The following is a 17,359-nucleotide window of genomic DNA, read 5'->3' as shown; positions in this document are numbered from 1 at the left end:
ACCTCCCTCCTGCAGCACAAGTCTCGAGGAGGCTGGGGAGGTGCGCGCACTGCCCTCTGGTGGCAACTTCTGGGCCCACCTGTCATTGTGCCCTGCTGTTTTCTAACTCAATTATTCTTGAAGGGATGATTGAGCGCCTTTTGCATGCAAAGTCCCGAGGTAGGCATGAAGTAGTTGGGCAGTCCAGATGGGGGAGAAGGTGTCGTGGATGTGGAGCCCAGGGTGTCACTCTACGCGCTCCCGATCCCTCCCAAGGCCTAGGCGTCCTCCCTCCACCGCGGGAACGGAGCAGGGGTGGCACAGAACTCTGGTGGCTGCAATGAGGGTTCAACGGTTGAATGCGTGGAGTGCATCTTAGCTTCACTTCTGGCCCAGGAAGCGCAGGCTCCGTGTACAACACACGCAGCGGTGCAGTGCCTTCAAAGGGGGCGTGTGGCTGTGTGTGTGGATGTGCCAGTTTTGGGCTTCCTCTCGGCAGGAGGTGGGGGGGCGGGGAGGCTCTGGCGCTGAGTGCCCCCTTTCCATTGCGGTCCTTTGGTGCAGTTGAGGGTCCCCCCAGTAGCAGGGGCATTTCCAAGGAGCCAGGACTTCAAGGGCCTAAGGCTGGAGGGGCCCTGTCCAGTGCAACAGAGAGACCTTGAGCATGGGCGGTGAGGTCACCTCTCCTGGCCCAGCTATCAGCTGAGCTGGATGTGCATGGCTCAGGTTTGCACAAAGGAGGCCCACCTGTTCACAGGAGTTCTGGAAAGAACACACCTGTGGCAAAGACACACACACGTGCACACCAGACAGGCCATGATCTCGCTCCCCTGGCGAGGAATGACTTCCTTGCCGTAGGGAGAATTCAGGGGAGTCTGGCCCTCTTGAGGAGATGCTGTAGAGGGGAGTTGTGGACGGTTGGATTCAGGATGTTTTCAGCTCCAAGTGTCTGCTTTAGGCCGGTCTGCACCTGTGTCCTCCCCGCCTCTGTCCTTCTGGCACTTGCCCTGGGTAGGCCTGGCTCAAAGCCCTCTTCTCCCCTCCTCCCCCAACCCCACAAACAATAATAAAATTAAATTAAATTAAATTAAATTAAATTTTTAAAAAAAGCCCTCTTCTCCATGAAGCCTGCCCTGAAGAGGCAGCTGCCCAGGAGCATCTGCACATCTCATACAAACTTTAGCTGTGATTATATTGCATTCGTTCCCATGCCTATTTCCTGTCCCTGCAGCTAAACTCTGGGCTCCTTGAGGGCTGGGTGGAGTCTTGGGCATCTTTTGTGGCTGCTATAACTCCCAGCCCTGAGCCAGGATAATACAGACGCTTGACAAACGCTCCATGCTGACTGGCAGGTGTTCCTACCTTCCATGCCTGGGAAAATCATGATTCAGACTCTCCCTGGAGAGGCCACGGTCAGAGAAACATTAGGAAGGACAGAGTGGGTTCTGGAAGGCCAGAGGCACACGGCCAGAGCAGGCACAGATGCGGCCAGCCATAGCTCAAATTCTCATGGCTCTCTTCTTCCAAAGGTGGCGGCAGCCTGGTAGTTAGGAGCATGTGCTTAGGAGCCAGATGGCCCAGGCCCACATCCCATCTCTGACACTTATCACCTACCTGTGTGCGGCCCTGGGCGAGTTATTTAACCTCCCCGTGCCTCAGTTTTTTCATCTGCAAAATAGGATAAGAGTCCTAGTCTGCAAGTGCTGTTGTCAGGATTCACTGAGGTAACATGCGGCCTCTCAAACTTCTGTGCACACTCGAGTTGCTTGGGGACGTGGTGAAAATACAGATTCTGGCTCGGGAGGGCTGGGCTGGGGCCTGAGCATCTGCATTTCTGACCAGCTCTCAGGGAATGCTGATGCTCTTGAACCTGAAACTGCCTTCAGCATAGTCGGGAATCAACATGTGTACTTAGAATAGGGCCTGGTGCGTAGTAAGGGCTAGAGGAGTTACCTAGTACCTCCCTGGGAAGGCTATGCTTCTAGAACTTTCTGCTCTGTAGCATTCTGCCCTCTGCATTCCTGGTGGCCCTCTGCTCTCTGGAGCCTCGGTGATGCTGGAGCCTCTGGTGTCTCTGAGGTGGGCTGTTCAGAGCCTCCTTGGTGGTCTGCATTCTGGGCCTGAGAAGGGACAGACAGGAGGTGATTTCAAGCGAGAGAGAAACAGGAAGAAGGCCCAGTGGGGAGAGGTGGCTTGCCCGGCCCACTCACCTGAATGTCCAGGCTTGGTGTGAGCTTCACAACTTAAACCACACATCTTGCAGCTTCCACCATCCCCCCTGCCCACCACCCCCACCACCCGGCCCCTCACCCCTCACTCCTGCCACACTGCTTCATGCAGGAACGGCACAGATGACTTCAGCCAGAGTGTCAGCAGCACCTCTGGGCTCAAACCACAGGCCTGAAGCCGCTGACCACATCCTCCCGATCAAAGCACCCCCGTGCCCCCTCCTCACTCTGCTCCCCTCCTCTGACCCCTTGTGCACTGGCCAGGTCTCTTCTGGGCCCTGACGCCTGGCTTAGGGAGGAGTGAGGCTGGGGTTCTCGGGTACTTTTGGAGAGGTGGAGGAGGTTGGGGGTGAAGTAGTGGGGCTGAGGGGCAGGGAGCGCAGAGGGAGAACCCTGTGTTGACAGGCTACATGGCTGACTGTTGCTTTCCGCTCTGCTCTGCAGGCCGCCTCTCCTCACGCACCCTCACGTGTGATACAGGTGATGGCCTCTGGGCTGTTTCCAGAGGTCCCATGTGCAACCCACAGAAATGGTGTGGGAACAGCAAAGCACCTTCGTGCATGAGCAGCAGCCATGGCACTCTCGGCCTGTGCTGCTGGCTGCCACCTGAGCTCCACTTTGGGGCCGTTTCTCACAGAGCAGCTCCACGCACTGAGGAATGAGCTGGTCTCAGTTTCCTCCAGCCTGGCCCAGTAAGAGGGTGACAAGCCTGGGGCCCTTCGTCCCCTGCTGCTTTCAGGTTTGCTCATGAGTTCCCGGAGGCCCATGAAATCAAGGTCACAGGCTCAAGCCCATGTGGGTGGTGGAGACGAGCATCCCTCTGCTCCACTCAGGTAGCAGCCCCGACCCTTCCTGGCTTTCCCCCGAATGGGGGGCCTCAGGGCGGGGGTATAAGGCATCCTCATGCCAGGAGCCCCTCCCAAGGGCTGAGAAGAGTCCCTCCTCCCTTGAGGGAGGCAAGGTGCCCAGTTTGGATTCCTCCAATCAGAGGATGACTTTCCTGGAAGAGCTTCTGGGATCATCCAACCCAAGCCAGTCCTTGCGGGGCATCTTTGGTTCCTGCTTGCTCAGTAGGCATCAGGCCTCCTGCTTCTAGAAGCGGCCCCCCCATTTCTCTTTGGGGTATCTACCTTCCTGCATTTGGTGAAGTCTTGGTTGAACTCTCAATCAAAGTACCCCACCCTTTCCAGCTGGAGGATGGGCATTTGACGTGATCTTAGCCAATGAGACTCTTTGAATTCTAATGAATGAAGCCAGCAAACAGCTGGAGGTTGGTGCCTCAAAGGGGTCTCTGCAGCTGGACCACACTCAGCTGCAGGTGCGGCTGGTCTGGAGTCTGCCCGTCCCTGAGGTCTGGGTCTTCAGCTCCCTCCAGAACCTGAGAACCACTCCAGATCCTCTAACTAGTTCTGTTTGGCTCAGGTTAGCTACAGCCTGTTCCTGCGGTCTGTAGCTCCAGAGCAGTGATGACTGCAGGGAGCGACCCTAGTGAGTTGGAGGCACTGCTGGGGCTCAAACTTAGGTCTCCAAACCCTCAGTCCAGTGCTCATGCCCCTGGGGAGAAGCCTCTGGCCTGGGGACAGGGGTGGGACTGAAATGAAGTGGAACCGAAGGGAAGAAATGAGTGTTCTCATCTCATGGTCTGGTGCTGGGGTGTGGGTGTTGGTGGTTTGGCTGCTGGGCAGAGTGTGAGGAGGTGTATAGAACTAGGCAGGCAGGGGTAGGATGCGGTCAATCAGACAGGTAGCCTTTGGCCCTCACAATCCCCTGCCTCTTCCCCAGTACCCCTGGCATGTGGTAGGATCTCTGATCTGGGGTAGAGGGGTGGGGTGGGGGTCAGGGATTTGGTAAACAGAGCCTGTGCCTGACCTGATTCAGACTAACCAGAATGGGTTTGTGACTCCGTGTGGTAGAGGCTTCACAGTGGGACTGTCTCTAACTCACTTTGAAAGTGAAACCAGCCACTCACCAAACATGGGGGCCCCTGCTGGTTCTGAAAGCTCTGGCAGCCTCTTTATTCACCAGTCACCCGAAGTATAAACCAGTTAGCAAGACAGCTTCAAGGTCAGCCAGCCAACTGGTGTGTGCGTGGGCCTCACCAGGCCTTCCAAGTGCGCATTTAGGTAGCCTTCCAGCAAGTCGGTGGGCTGTGAGCTCAGGGTCAGCTCTCCCCCATGTTTGGGTCACCTACCCCACCAGTACATTAGGCAGAGGAGGTTTTTATCAAAGACCTCCCGTACTGTCCTTGAGCATCCAATGCTCACACTGGCACCAGGGCCTGTGGTACAACACTGGTCCTACTCCAAGGCCCCGCAGACAGAAAACCGTGGGGGCGGGCACTCTTCCCCTCGCTGCCCTCTCACTCGATCGCCATCACCCAACGTGGTCAGTCATTGCTGTAATTAAAGACTATTTCAAATCTGAGATCTGTACTAAATATATGCATGCCCCTGTACTTGGCTAAGGCACCTGTGTCAGCCAGGAACTTCAGTTGCAAAAACTCTACTGGCTACTGTCATTAGAAAAGGAATCATTCAGGATATTCTGAAGCTCAGGAATCTCTGGCAGGACCCGCAAATCAGGCTTGGAGAAGCTTGGAGAAGCTTGGAGAGGCTTGGAGAATTGCTGCATCCTGGACACGATGTTCCGACACCACCCTCGCCAGCCTCCAGGTCTTGGAGTTGAGGCTTCTGATTGGGGAAGCCTAATCACACGCACACACTTCAGGACTGAGGTCTGGAGCTGAGGCTTCTGATTGGGTGAGCCTGGTCACATGATCATATTCCCAGCCTGTGGTCTGGAACCCAGGCTTCTGACTGGGGGAACCTGGTCACATGCCCTCCCAGTCAGCAGTCTGGAGCTGGCTTCTGATTGGGGGAGCCTGGTCACATGCTCACTTTCCCAGCCTGTGGTCTGGAACTGAGGCTTCTGATTGGGGGAACCTGGTCACATGCTCTCCCCGCCTGAGGTCTGGAGCTGAGGCTTCTGATTGAAGGAACCTGGTCACATGCTCACTTTCCCAGCCTGAGGTCTGGAATGGAGGCTTCTGATTGGGCAGCCTGGTCACATGCCTATGTCCCAGCTGCAAGGGAGGCTGGAAAAGCAGTTTCAGCTTACTGGTTAGGGTAGGAGACTCCTAAAAAAGGAGATAACTCCAACACAAGAAAGATTTGCAAAGATGCAGCGCACCCAGATGTAAACTAAATATCCAGGACAGCACCTGAGAAGAAACAGGGCTGGCAGAGGGTCCCTTTGTCAATGCCACCCTCAGCTGCACTCCTCCCTCTGAAAGTGGCGCTTCCTCACATATGGGCCGGCTGTGGTGGTGGAGTTTTGTTGCATGTTTAAGTTAGAATTAATGGCGAGTATTTTAAATGGGAGGTTTTCACGTTTTTTTGTTTTGGTTTCTTTGAGATGGAGTCTTGCCTGTGGCCCAGGCTGGAGTGCAGTGGCACGATCTTGGCTCACTGCAACCTCCACCTCCCGGGGTTCAAGCAGTTCTCCTGCCTCAGCCTCCCAAGTAGCTGGGACTAAAGGCATGTGCCACCATGCCCAGCTAATTTTGTATTTTTAGTAGAGATGGGGTTTCACCACGTTGGTCAGGCTGGTCTCAAACTGGTGACCTCAGGTGATCCACCTGCCTTGGCCTCCCAAAATGCTGGGATTACAGGTGTGAGCCACCGCATCCAGTCTTTTGTTTGTTTTTTTGAGACTGAGTCTCGCTCTGTCACCCAGTCTCGCTCTGTCACCACGATCTCACTGCAACCTCTGCTTCCCAGGCTCAAGCGATCCTCCCACCTTAGCCTCCCGAATAGCTGGGAATTACAGGCATGCACCACCATGCCCGGCTAAATTTTTTTTTTTTTTTTTTTGGCATAGACAGGGTTTCGGCATGTTGGCCAGGCTGGTCTCGAATTCCTGAGCTCAAGCAATCCACCCGCCTTGGCCTTTCACGTTTTTAAAAATACCAATTTTAGCTTCTTTTGCAAATTGAGTTTCCTGGTAGTATGGTGCAGACATCTCCATCTGCCATTTCTCCTGTAGCTGGAGTCTCCAATGTGCCATGGTCCCCACCTGTCCACCTGATGTAAATTCACTTCCTACCTGGCCCCCATGGGCATCTCAGTTCCCTGCCCAAACCCTCCCAGAAGGAGAGACTAGGCTTCCTTAGTGATCATGCTGCGTGGTACTGGTTCTGTTAGCCCCCACCTTCTCCTGTACCCACTGGGCCTGCCTGGAGAAAGAGCGAGGCCCCGCTGAATCTCATACACTCCAGTGATGCTCCCTTAGCCACGGATAAGCTGCCATCCCGCTGCTCCCCACAGGGAGCTGCCGTCACTGCATCAGCCAATCAGTGTCCTGGCCAGTCAGACACTGGGTTGTGTTGTGTTCTTAATCAGTAAGGGTGTGCCTGGTTACCTCTGGCCATGGATGTGAAGAGTCTTTGATGTTGGGAGGTCAACAGTAGGATATATTTTAGCTAACTGTTGATTGTCCAAAAATGCTATTTACTCAAGGAGGTCTTTACAATGCAGTGGCCCTCGCAATGTGCCCACAAACCTGTATACGCAGAAATGATATCAAGAGAATCATGTTTTAAACTTGGCTGGGAACAAGGCTGGGCACTATGTGAGCACACAGGTGGAGAAGGCTTTGGGCTGCAGATGCAGGGACCATGGGAATAACAACGGGTGGCCCCCACGCCAGCACCCCTGAGTGCCAACCAAAGTGGGGGGTCCTTCTCCATGAATCCTTGTCACTGGTCAGGCACTTTTGGGGGCTTTGCCCTAGTCCAGAACTTCCCTTCTGCAGGCTCAGTTCAGCCCCTTCGTTCTGGGGAGGGCTTCCTCTGCATCCTCACTGTGGCGTGTTTCAGGATCTGCCAAAATGCACCTGCCTCTGTCCCCTCGGCCTCACCTTGTTTAGATTCTTGAAGTGGTAATGGAACACAAATGCTAGGACTCCAAGAGGCAGAGACCAAGAGGCAGAGGTTTTACAGTTTCTCTCTATATATGTTGTAGGGCCAGGTGATACCCAGATCTAGCCTGCCTTGCTCCTTCCCCCTTCCTGAAATGGGCATCTTTCCCGCTCGGAGGAGTTCAGGGTCCCCTGTTCTCAGCGAGCCCAGGGTGGCCGCTTCTGGTGCCAGGCCTGACGGAGGGCATCGTCACTCTTGAGTGAGAGCATGTTTCTGACCCCATTTTTTGCTTTTCCCCAAGCAGACTTTGCAGGCAACGGTGACAGCCAGGCATAACCTTCTTAGAGGGACATTTTAATTTTTTCCGATTCTTTAATAAAAACACTAAGAAAAAAAAAAGCAAGCAAGTGTTACTTCTTGATAGAGAGGAACTTCTCACAGACACTTTTCAAACATCACACGTCCTTTTTCCTCACAGCAACACCTAGATTGTCTTCTGAGAAAGATCGCAGATTTTGGTGAAACCTGCCCAAGAATAAGAAAAAGCAAAGAGAATGTTTTCACTCTACCTGTTTCCCACAGGAAAAGCGGAAACCGTTGTGGGTACTGGCTTTCTTGACTGTCCCCATCACAGGACACTGGCCTGGCTGTGAGGAGACCTGGGTTAGGAGTCCGCCTTTTTGCCAACCAGCGTTGTGGCTGTGGACAAAATGCTTTCCTCCCTGGGTGCTCTCAGCATAGTGAAGACGGCGGAGGATGGGTGGTTCCACGGGCCTGGTGACTCAGGGACAGTTTCAGGTAGGAAACTGGCTGGAGGACTTGGCTGCTAGCAGTGTCCAGGGATTCCTGCCTGAGTGGCTCAGTGCAGGTAGATGCTAGTTCACAGACATGCTCCCACGCACCTTCACAGACGTATGCCACACTCATGCCTTCGAACACAGGGCTTACCGCCTTTATGTTTACCTGAGCAGTGGTGCACCCACGTGTATTCTGAACTTCGTTTTTTGTCTCTTCTCCGTACATCCTGGAGATTGCTCCATATCAGGACCCAGAGAGCCTCCCCTTCCTATTTTTTTTAGACGGAGTCTTGCTCAGTCACCCAGGCTCGAGTGCGGTTGCGCAATCTTGGCTCACTGCAACCTCTGCCTCCCGGGTTCAAGTGATTCTTCTGCCTCAGCCTCCTGAATAGCTGGGACTACGGGGTGCCCACCACCACGCCCGGCTAATTTTTTTTTAATTTTTATTTTTGGTAGAGACGTGGTTTTGCCATGTTGGCCAGGCTGGTCTCGATCTCCTGACCTCGTGATCCGCCCGCCTCAGCCTGCCAAAGTGCTGGGATTACAGACATAAGCCACCGCGCCCAGCCCTCCCCTTCCTATCTTGGCATAGCTACGTGGCATTCCACTGGATGGAAGTTCCCTAATTTGCTCATCACCTGTCCCCTATGGATGCGCATTTTGTTGGCCTCGGGTCCCGTGACTGCAGGAGTTACTTTGTACACACGTGTTCAACATGGGTCACTCTGTTGATGAGTTTTAGGTGTGGAATTGCTGGGTCATGTGTCAGAGATGTTGGTAGATGTCAGATTGCCTTCCAGGGAGATGCTTGAAGCCCACGCCAGCAGGGTGACTCGCCTTTTCAACCTGCCTTTGATGGCAAAGCTTTTGAAACTTCAAATATGCTATCCTGGTGTTTTTAATGTGTATTCTCAGGACTCTTCAGGGTATTAGGGACTTAGCACTTTTGATTCTTTCTCTTTTCCTTTTTTCCTTCCTTCCCCTCATATTGACACTGTCCGTATGTCAGGTAATTTTCTGGGTTCTGGAGTGGTGTGGATGAATCCCACACTGTTCCTGTTGTCCAAGAGCTCCTGGTGTAGACTCATAAGCAAGGCTCTGACATGAGATATGGTAACTGGCTTGTGCCCAGAATCTGCCTTGGCCAGAATTGGAGATCAGGGAAGGACTGGTTTTAAATCGGGGAGCTGATTAGTCTGAGTAAGTAGGGTGGGAATATGGTGACCAACTTTGTCCTAGGAATATCACTGTAAATCTTATGTTCTGGAAACCCCCCTCAGTCCCAGGCACAGTGGGACAGCTGGTCACCTTGGCGCGATCCTGGTAAGGAATGGCATGGTTTGCACAAGATAGGAGCTGCTCAGGGCGCTGGTGCTGGTGTGGCTATGAAGCAGGCAGCTCCCGGATGAACAGGGAAGAACGTGGGGCTTCAGGTCTGGAGCCTGGGGGGCTGGCGTGGAGGTGGCTGCTGTGGCAAAGCAGAAGTAAGGGTGATGGCTTGGAAGGAGGGGGTGAGGGAGGGAAGGAGTCAGGGAGAATGGCCACAGTCTGTCTTGGGGACTGGTGGGTGGGGCGCCTCCAGTGAAGAGCAGGTGTCAGCAGAGGGGCATGCTCGGAGGACAGCCCTCAGGAAGTCGGCCGCTAGCCTGCTCTTTCTCCTTGTTCTGCTCTGGCCCCTCTGTGGGCCCCTGCAGCTTTGTGATCCTCATTTGTCATGAGGGGTACCCCACAGTCTGATGGGGACTGGGCGGAGGGTCAGACACCAAATTATGTATACCATAGTCCTCCTGACCAGGGACCAGGACTCAAAACCAGGTCACTGGTGAGGCCTGGCACTGTGGGGGCAGGACTTTTTTTCCAGCTGGGGACTCGGCTACCTGCTGACTTTCCAGAAGACAGGTCACAGCACCGAGCAGGGGTGGGCGGAACACAAGGACTTGAGGGTGGGTGACAGTGTCAGCTGGCTGAGCCAGGGAGGGCAGGAAGGGAGGTGGCCCTGGAGATACTGGAGGTCTTCACAATGGCAGAGGACAGGCGGTGGCAGAGACAGTGAATGGCACCCCCAAACCTGCTCTCCCCTGCCCGTGTGCCCTCTACTTATAGCTGGCTACATCTCCCAGCCTCCTCTGCAGCTTGGTTGGCTATGTGACTCAGGCGTAGCCAATGGGATGTACATTAGAAGTGGCTACGGCAGCTTTGGGGAAGGGTCCTTAACAGGCAGAGGCAAGCCCTCCCTCTCTCCTTCCTTTCCCTTCCATCTGCAGGAACGCAGAGGTGATGGGTGGAGCTTGAATAGCTCTCTTGGTCTATGAGGAGATGGGAGAAGGATATTGAAGAGACCCTAGTAGCAAGCCAGATTTAGCTCAGGATCCTGACATCATAAAGCCACCCCACCTAGCCTGGGTGGCCTCCCTTTGGACTTCTTTTATGTAAGAGAGAAATAAAGCCCTCTCTTATTTTAGGTCACTGTTTTCTTCTTCTGTTCTCTTTGGACACACGCAGCTGAACTTCATCCTAACTGGGACACTGTTGTACAGTGGAGGCGGTGATGGCAGCACGCGGGTGAGCTGAGGTGGAAGTTCAAGGGGTCTTGGTTAACACAGGTCAGAATGATGGCAGGGTGCAAGTGCAGGCCTGGGTGTGGGACTGGTATGGAGCAGTTCAGAGGGAACAGGAGGCTGGAGGCTACAGTGTGGACCCTGACATCTCCTGGGAGGCGGAGTGGAGAGGGAGGCTGAGCGCAAGGGCCAAGCACTCCAGTGAGCAGAGGGAGGACGGGTAGGGCGTTTGGCAGATACCAGGACTGAGGAGGATGCAGTCTGGCTTGGCCCCAAAAAAGACAGCCCAAGGACATCAGGGCTGGAAGACCCCAATATGCCCTTGTCCCATGGCCCCTGTGAAAGAGGGGTCTGGGTCCAGTGGTGGGAGGGCTGTGGGACTGGGTGCATGGAAACAGAGGGTATGAGGCGGTTTGTTCCCAGTGGGACCCATGAAGATGCAGCGCAGAGGGTCAGGTGGGGATGTGGAAGACGTAAGAGAAGTAGTTATAGGAGCAAGGCGTGGAGCTCGTGGAGGAGGCTGGGTCCAAACCCCAGCACTCCTGAGACCCAGGTCTGGGTAGGCCCGAGTGGGCTCTGTCAGGGCTCTGCCATCAGAGAAGCTTCTGGATTACATCTCAGGTTGCCTCAGAGAGAATCGGATGTCCTCTGGGACAGACCTAGGTTCTAATCCTGGCTCTGCCACATTCTGGTAGGATGACTCATGAGGCCTGGTTTCCTGGCCTGTAAAATGGCAAGGGAAGAGCAGGCTCAGCATGCACAAAGCCCTGACAGAGTGAGAAAGCACAGGAGGCAGGGTCAGAGATGAAGATGGGGCAGTCCCTGTAGGACATGTGGGTCAAGACTGAGAGTTTGGATTTTACTGTGAATGCACTGGGAAGGTTTGAGTGTGTATGATGGGGAGTGGCTGGGGGGTGAAATGACGTGATTTGAGTTTGGGAAAGGTTGCTCTGGCCGCTGAGTGGAGAACAGACCAGAGAGTCAGGAGTATTAATAGAAACAGGGAGACCAGGGCGGAGGCCACCATGGGCCTGCTGAGGTGGGAGATGACACGGCTCTGAGCAGGGCAGGGGCTGAAGAAAGCAGGTGCACCTCTCTGCACACCCCTGCTGGCCACCCATGCCTCTGGGCTTCTGCTGGCGTACTGTCTCACCCCTCCTCACCTGGTTTTATGTTCAGCTGTAGCACCTGGGGGACAGACTGTATGAGTCAGAGAAAACAGAAACAGCAGTCCCCAGGTCTCAGAGGCCCAACAATAGAGGTTTATTTTTCATTCAAGTTATAGCCCAGTGTGAATTGTCTGAGGAGGGGTGAGGGCCTGTCCTTCAAGGGACTCCAGCCCCTCTACCCAAAACTTCACTGGATTCTGGCAGGGGAGGGGAGAGAGAGAAAGAGATAGAGGGATGGCCGGCCGTGGTGGCTAACGTCTGTAATCCCAGCACTTAGGGAGGCCAAGGCAGGCAGATCACGAGGTCAGGAGATCGAGACCGTCCTGGCCAACATGGTGAAACCCCATCTCTACTGAAAATACAAAAATTAGCTGGGTGTGGTGGTGTGTGCCTGTAATCCCAGCTACTCGGGAAGCTGAGGCAGGAGAATTGTTTGAACCGGGGAGGCGGAGCTTGCAATGAGCCGAGATCGCGCCACTGCACTCCAGCCTGGCTACAGAGCAAGATTCCGTCTAAAAAACAAAAAAAAAAAAAGAAAAAAAAAGAGAGATAGAGGGATTAAGAGACACAGGAGATCATAGGTGAGATTTTTTTTAGGCCTAGAAGTAGAATAAATCACTTCCTCCCACATCCCATTAGCCAGACTTGGTTCTGGAGCCCCAGCTCACTGCAAGGGAGGCTGGGAAGCAGACCCGAGCTGATGCCGGGAGGAGGGTGCACGCCATGGCCTGGGGACCCATTCCACCAGGTTTCCCTCCTACGTGCTCCCACAGGCCATGAGGTGTTACATAGAGGATGTGAAGGAGAATCATTCTCTGCGTAGCCCCCTCCCTGCCTCTCCATCTGAGGTGTTCTGGGCTAGGACCCTTGACAAAAGAACAAACCGGCTCCATCCCCTGTCTCCTGGGGTGGGAGACTCTGTATGTGGGGGCTGCACCATCCCCCATTCTGCTCCCCACTTTCCTGGCTGCTGCACATCTCAGGGGCACGAGGGTGGAGAGTGGCCTACCTCCCTCCCTTGGTCCTACCCCGCTGGCCTGGGCTGCGCGCCTCAGGCTTCCTGTGTCTGACCTGGTCTTTGGGGCATCTGGGGTGCTCAGTAAATGTTTGTTGAATAAATAAAAGAAGGAAAGCAGGATGAGGAGGAAGAAGAGTCTTGGGCAGTATGTGCCAGGCAGACTGATGCTGTCTCATGGATGAAATAGCTGTACGCAGCTGCTCCTTGCAAGCTGGGTCTGTGACTTCTGGCTTTGGCTGCGGATGCATTTTTCTTTTCTTTGTATGTGTGTGCTTTTAAAGTTTTAACTGAATTCATTTATTTGGGGGCAGGAAATATGTTCATGCCATACAAAAGGGTCTATAGAGAAAAGCGTCCTTCCTAACCCTTCCTCACCTGGCTCTCCTCCCTGAGACAACCGGCGTTCCTAATTTCTTGCAAAGCTTCTGGGAATATTTGAGGCTTAATAAATGTTGGCTGTTATTCTCATGGTTGTGGCTGTTGTGTTTAGTATCCTCTCCTGCCGCCAGACAGCCTTACTCTAGAGGAGAGGGAAGGGCAGTGTGGAAGGAACTGGCCCTTACAGCAAGCCTGCAGTGCGTGGTCACATTAAATGCTTTATACACACCTTCTTGTCCAGTTCTCCCTTCATTTGGTAGGTCTGCACACTGAAGCACAGGGAGGCCTAAGTCACAGCCTCAATCTCCAGTCCTGCCCCTCCTGGGCAGCAGTGCTCCACGCTTCTTCTTTTCCAGCAGCGGGCTTTGCACATGGGAGTTGGGCCTGATTCTCTTTTTGGAGTCTTGAATTCCACTTTTCTCACATTTGCAGAGCTGCCGTCTCTGCTCTTCTCTCTCTTCTTCTCAGAAGAGGTGGCAGGCTGGGCGCAGTGGCTCACACCTGTAATCCCAGCACTTTGGGAGGCCGAGGGAGGTGGATCACCTGAGGTCAGGAGTTCAAGATCAGCCTGGCCAACATGGGGAAACCCCGTCTCTACTGAAAATACAAAAATTAGCCGGGCATGGTAGCACGTGCCTGTAATCCCATCTACTCGGGAAGCCGAGGCAGGAGAATCGCTTGAACTTTGTGGGCAGAGGTTGCAGTGAGCCGAGATTGTGCCACTGCACTCCAGCCTGGGTGACAGAGCTAGACTATGTCTCAAAAAAAAAAAAAAAAAAAAAAAGAGGCCACAGCTTGCAATAAAACCCCTCTGAAACAGGGAATCAGGAAAGGGAAGAAGCAGAGCTGCTGCTTCTGGGCTCTGAGGATGGAACTTCACAGGGTCTATGGGGCTGTGATGTAGCACGTAAATAGATGTGCATTTTTCTAAAGACCAATCCATAAGTTTCCATCATTTAAAAAAAAGAGCCCTGAGCTGAGCTCCCACGCCACCCTTCTCCCCCGCCAAAAAAGGGGGAGAAGGGTTAGGAACCATGACTTGAGAGGAAGAGGAAGGTTCTAGAATGTTCAGTAAGTGACCATCAAATTGTTCACAAAGACCTGATAGTCATCTCTGGGAAGTGCTAGCTAGAACAAACAGACAAGAGAAAGAAGTAAAGGGCATCCAAATTGGAAAGGAAGAAGTCAAATTATCCTTGTTTGTAGACGATATTATCTTATATTTCAAAAAGCCTAAAAACGCCACCACAAAACTATGAGAACTGATAAACAAATTCAGTTAAGCTGCAGAATACAAAATCAACATACAAAAGTTAGTAGTATTTCTATGTACCAACAGCAAACAATCTGAAAAAGAAATCAAGAAAATAACTCCATTTGGAATAGCTACAAATAAAATAAAATACCTAGGAATAAACGTAACCAAAAAAGTGAAAGATCTCTATAATGAAAACTATAAAACGTTGGTGCAAGAAACTGAAGAGGACACAAAAAATAAAAAGATATTCTATGTTTATGGATTGGAAGAATCAATATTGTTAAAATGTCCATACCACCCAAAGAAATATACAGACTCAATGTAATCCCTATCAAAATACTAATGACATTCTTCACAGAAGTAGAAAAAATAATCGTCAAATTTATATGGAACCACAAAAGATGCAGAGTAGCCAAAGCCATCCTAAGCAAAAAGAGTGAAACTGGACAAATCACATTATCTGACTTCAAATTATACCACAGAGCTACAGTAACCAAAACAGCGTGGCGCTAGCGTAAAAACAGATGCATTGACCAATGAACCATTGGTCAGAATAGGGAACCCAGAAACAAATCCACACACCTACAGTGAACTTATTTTCAACAAAATTGCCAAAAACATACCTTTGGGGAAAGGCCAGTCTTTTCAATAAATGTTGCTGGGAAAACTGGATATCCATATGCAGAAGAATGAAACTAGACCCTCATCTCTCTTCATATACAAAAATCAAATCCAAATGGATTAAAGACTTAAATCTGAGACCTCAAACTATGAAACTACTAAAAGGAACATTGGGGAAACTCTTTAGGACATGGGACTAGGCAAAGATTTCTTGAGCAATACCCCACCAGCACATGCAACCAAAGCAGAAATGATAGATGAGATCACATCAAGTTAAAAGGCTTCTACACAGCAAAGGATGCAATCAGCAAAGTGAAGAGACAACCCACAGAATGGGAGAAAATATTTGCAAACTATCTGACAAGGGATTAATAACTGGACTAGATAAGGAGCTCAAACATCTTTATGGAAAAAAATTATAGAAATCCCATCAAAAATTGGGCAAATGATCTGAATAGACAGTTCTCAAAAGAAAACATATAAGTTTATGAAAAGGTGCTCAACATCATTGATCATCAGAGAAATGCATGTCAAAACTACAATGAGATATTATCTCACCTCAGTTAAAATGACTTTTATCCAAAAGGCAGGCAATAATGAATGCTGGTGAGGGTGGGGAGAAAAGGGAACTCTCGTACACTGTTGGTGGGAATGTAAATTAGTACAACCACTATAAAGAACAGTTTGAAGAGTCCTCAAAACACTAAAAATAGAACTACTATATGATCCAGCAATCCCACTGCTGAGTATATACCCAGAAGAAAGGAAATCAGTATATGGAAGAGACATCTGCATTCCCACATTTGTTGCAGCACTGTTCACAATACCCAGGATTTGGAAGCAACCTAAGTGCCCATCAACAGATGAATGAATAAAGAAAATGTGGTACATATATGCAATGGAGTACTATTCAGCCATGAAAAAGAATGAGATCCTGTCTTTGCAACCACATGTTTGAAACTGGAGGTCATTATGTTAAGTGAAACAGGCCAGGCACAAAAAGACAAAGCTCACATGTTCTCACTTATTTGTGGGAGCTAAAAATTAAAACAATTGAATTCATGGAAATGGGAAGGGCAGTGATGGAGATGGGAAGGGCAGTGGGGGTTGGAGGGGTGGGGATTGTTGTTGGGTACGAAAACAGAATTAGATCGAATGAATAAGATCTAGTATTTGATAGCATAACAGGGTGACTTTAGTCAACAATAATTTATTGTACATTTAAAAATAACTAAAAGAGTATACTTGGATTTTAACACAAAGAAAGGATAAATACTTGAGGTGATGGATACCCCATTTACCCTGATGTGATTATTATACATTGTATGCCTGTATCAAAATAGCTCATGTGCCTCATGAATATAGACACCTACCACATGCCCACAAAATTAAAAACTAAAAAAAACAGTCATCTCTGAATGCTAAACGGAGTAAGGGGCTTCCTGGAAGGCTGGGTGAAATGGGAGTCTCGGAAAGATGGTGTGTTGCAGGCTGGGAGGAGGGTGAGACGCTGGGGTCACCTAGAGGGACCTGCTTGTGTGAAGCCTACGTATTAGTGGGTATGTGTGTGACCGGATGGAGGCGTCAGAGGTGTTGGGTAGCCTGTGTGAGTTGGCGTGGGGGTGATGTAGGAGGGGAGAGAGGGAGGGCCTGCGTTCCCTTGGCTCCTGTGTGCAGCTAGGCCCCTATTTGACAATGTGTGTCTGTGTGTGTGTGTGTGTGTGTGTGTGTGTGTGTGTGTGTGTGTGCCGCCCCCAGCGTAGGAGGCAGATCTTTATCTGGCCCTGGGTGCTTGAGGAGTTTCAGGCTTTCTCATAAGCCTCGTCTCCCCGCCTCTCCACCCCAGGCCTTGCCCCTCTATCCTCTGCACAGGAAGTGGGCTGGCTCTGGGCTTTTAGTCTTTGCGGCCCCAGCAGCCAGAGCTCAGCAGGGCCCTGGAGAGATGGCCACGGTCCCAGCACCGGGGAGGACTGGAGAGCGCGCGCTGCCACCGCCCCATGTCTCAGCCAGGTGATGTCCCCCTGCCTCCCTCCCGGCCCCTGTGGACCAGCCAGAGGGCTGGGAGTGAAAGTCACAGAGAAGACTTTCAGCTCTGACTCAGTTCCCCCAGCAGTTTCTGCCTGAACTCCCATCCCCCAACTTTGTCTTAGAATTCCCCTAGGGAGGGGTTGGGCCCAGCTCTCATGGCTCCTGGCTGGAGGAAAAAGCGGTCCCCAGTCCCAGGTCAGCTCTCCTTCCCAACCCATTCAGGGGAGGCTAGGGACTGCTGTGGGATGAGGGGCTTCCCTGGGCTCTGTGTGCTGGGCCCCCAACCCGGAGAGGTGGAGAAGGGATGGGTGGATAGCCTGGGTGCCCGGAGAGGGTACGGGATATGGGGTGGGACAGGCGGGAGCCCCCTCCTGACCTCTGTGGAGTGGGGCCCATATACCGGGGGA

General features: G+C 52.0%; 1 protein-coding gene across 3 annotated transcripts in view, besides 8 other annotated features; it reads left to right on the top strand.

The window, feature by feature from the left end:
* IL2RB (interleukin 2 receptor subunit beta) overlaps positions 1 to 17,359 on the top strand; it is a 49,281-nt gene that overhangs the window by 8,360 nt on the left and 23,562 nt on the right. The window contains exon 1 of one of the 3 annotated variants that reach the window (NM_000878.5): positions 16,843 to 16,934. The exons of the other annotated variants lie outside the window; for them this stretch is intronic. The gene's annotated coding sequence lies outside the window, so the exon portion shown is untranslated. Of the gene's footprint in view, positions 1 to 16,842; positions 16,935 to 17,359 lie in introns of those variants that run through there. 3 annotated transcript variants of the gene reach the window in all.
* Positions 15,978 to 16,933: a promoter, noted in NCBI's record as "-857/+97 promoter fragment". NCBI's record gives the evidence for it as "EXISTENCE:reporter gene assay evidence [ECO:0000049][PMID:8413220]".
* Positions 16,473 to 16,584: an enhancer, noted in NCBI's record as "-363/-251". NCBI's record gives the evidence for it as "EXISTENCE:reporter gene assay evidence [ECO:0000049][PMID:8413220]".
* Positions 16,667 to 16,682: a protein binding site, noted in NCBI's record as "-170/-155 Sp1 site". NCBI's record gives the evidence for it as "EXISTENCE:protein binding evidence [ECO:0000024][PMID:9199305]".
* Positions 16,667 to 16,698: an enhancer, noted in NCBI's record as "-170/-139". NCBI's record gives the evidence for it as "EXISTENCE:reporter gene assay evidence [ECO:0000049][PMID:8413220]".
* Positions 16,679 to 16,693: a protein binding site, noted in NCBI's record as "-158/-142 Egr site". NCBI's record gives its function as "positive regulation of promoter activity" and the evidence as "EXISTENCE:protein binding evidence [ECO:0000024][PMID:9199305]".
* Positions 16,781 to 16,803: an enhancer, noted in NCBI's record as "-56/-34". NCBI's record gives the evidence for it as "EXISTENCE:reporter gene assay evidence [ECO:0000049][PMID:8413220]".
* Positions 16,781 to 16,803: a protein binding site, noted in NCBI's record as "-56/-34 ETS site". NCBI's record gives the evidence for it as "EXISTENCE:protein binding evidence [ECO:0000024][PMID:8413220]".
* Positions 16,781 to 16,803: a protein binding site, noted in NCBI's record as "-56/-34 ETS site". NCBI's record gives the evidence for it as "EXISTENCE:protein binding evidence [ECO:0000024][PMID:8413220]".

The sequence above is a fragment of the Homo sapiens genome, chromosome 22 (assembly GCF_000001405.40).
Source record: "Homo sapiens chromosome 22, GRCh38.p14 Primary Assembly".
In the NCBI taxonomy this organism is placed as follows: domain Eukaryota; kingdom Metazoa; phylum Chordata; class Mammalia; order Primates; family Hominidae; genus Homo; species Homo sapiens.
This window is presented reverse-complemented; position numbering and strand designations above follow the sequence as displayed.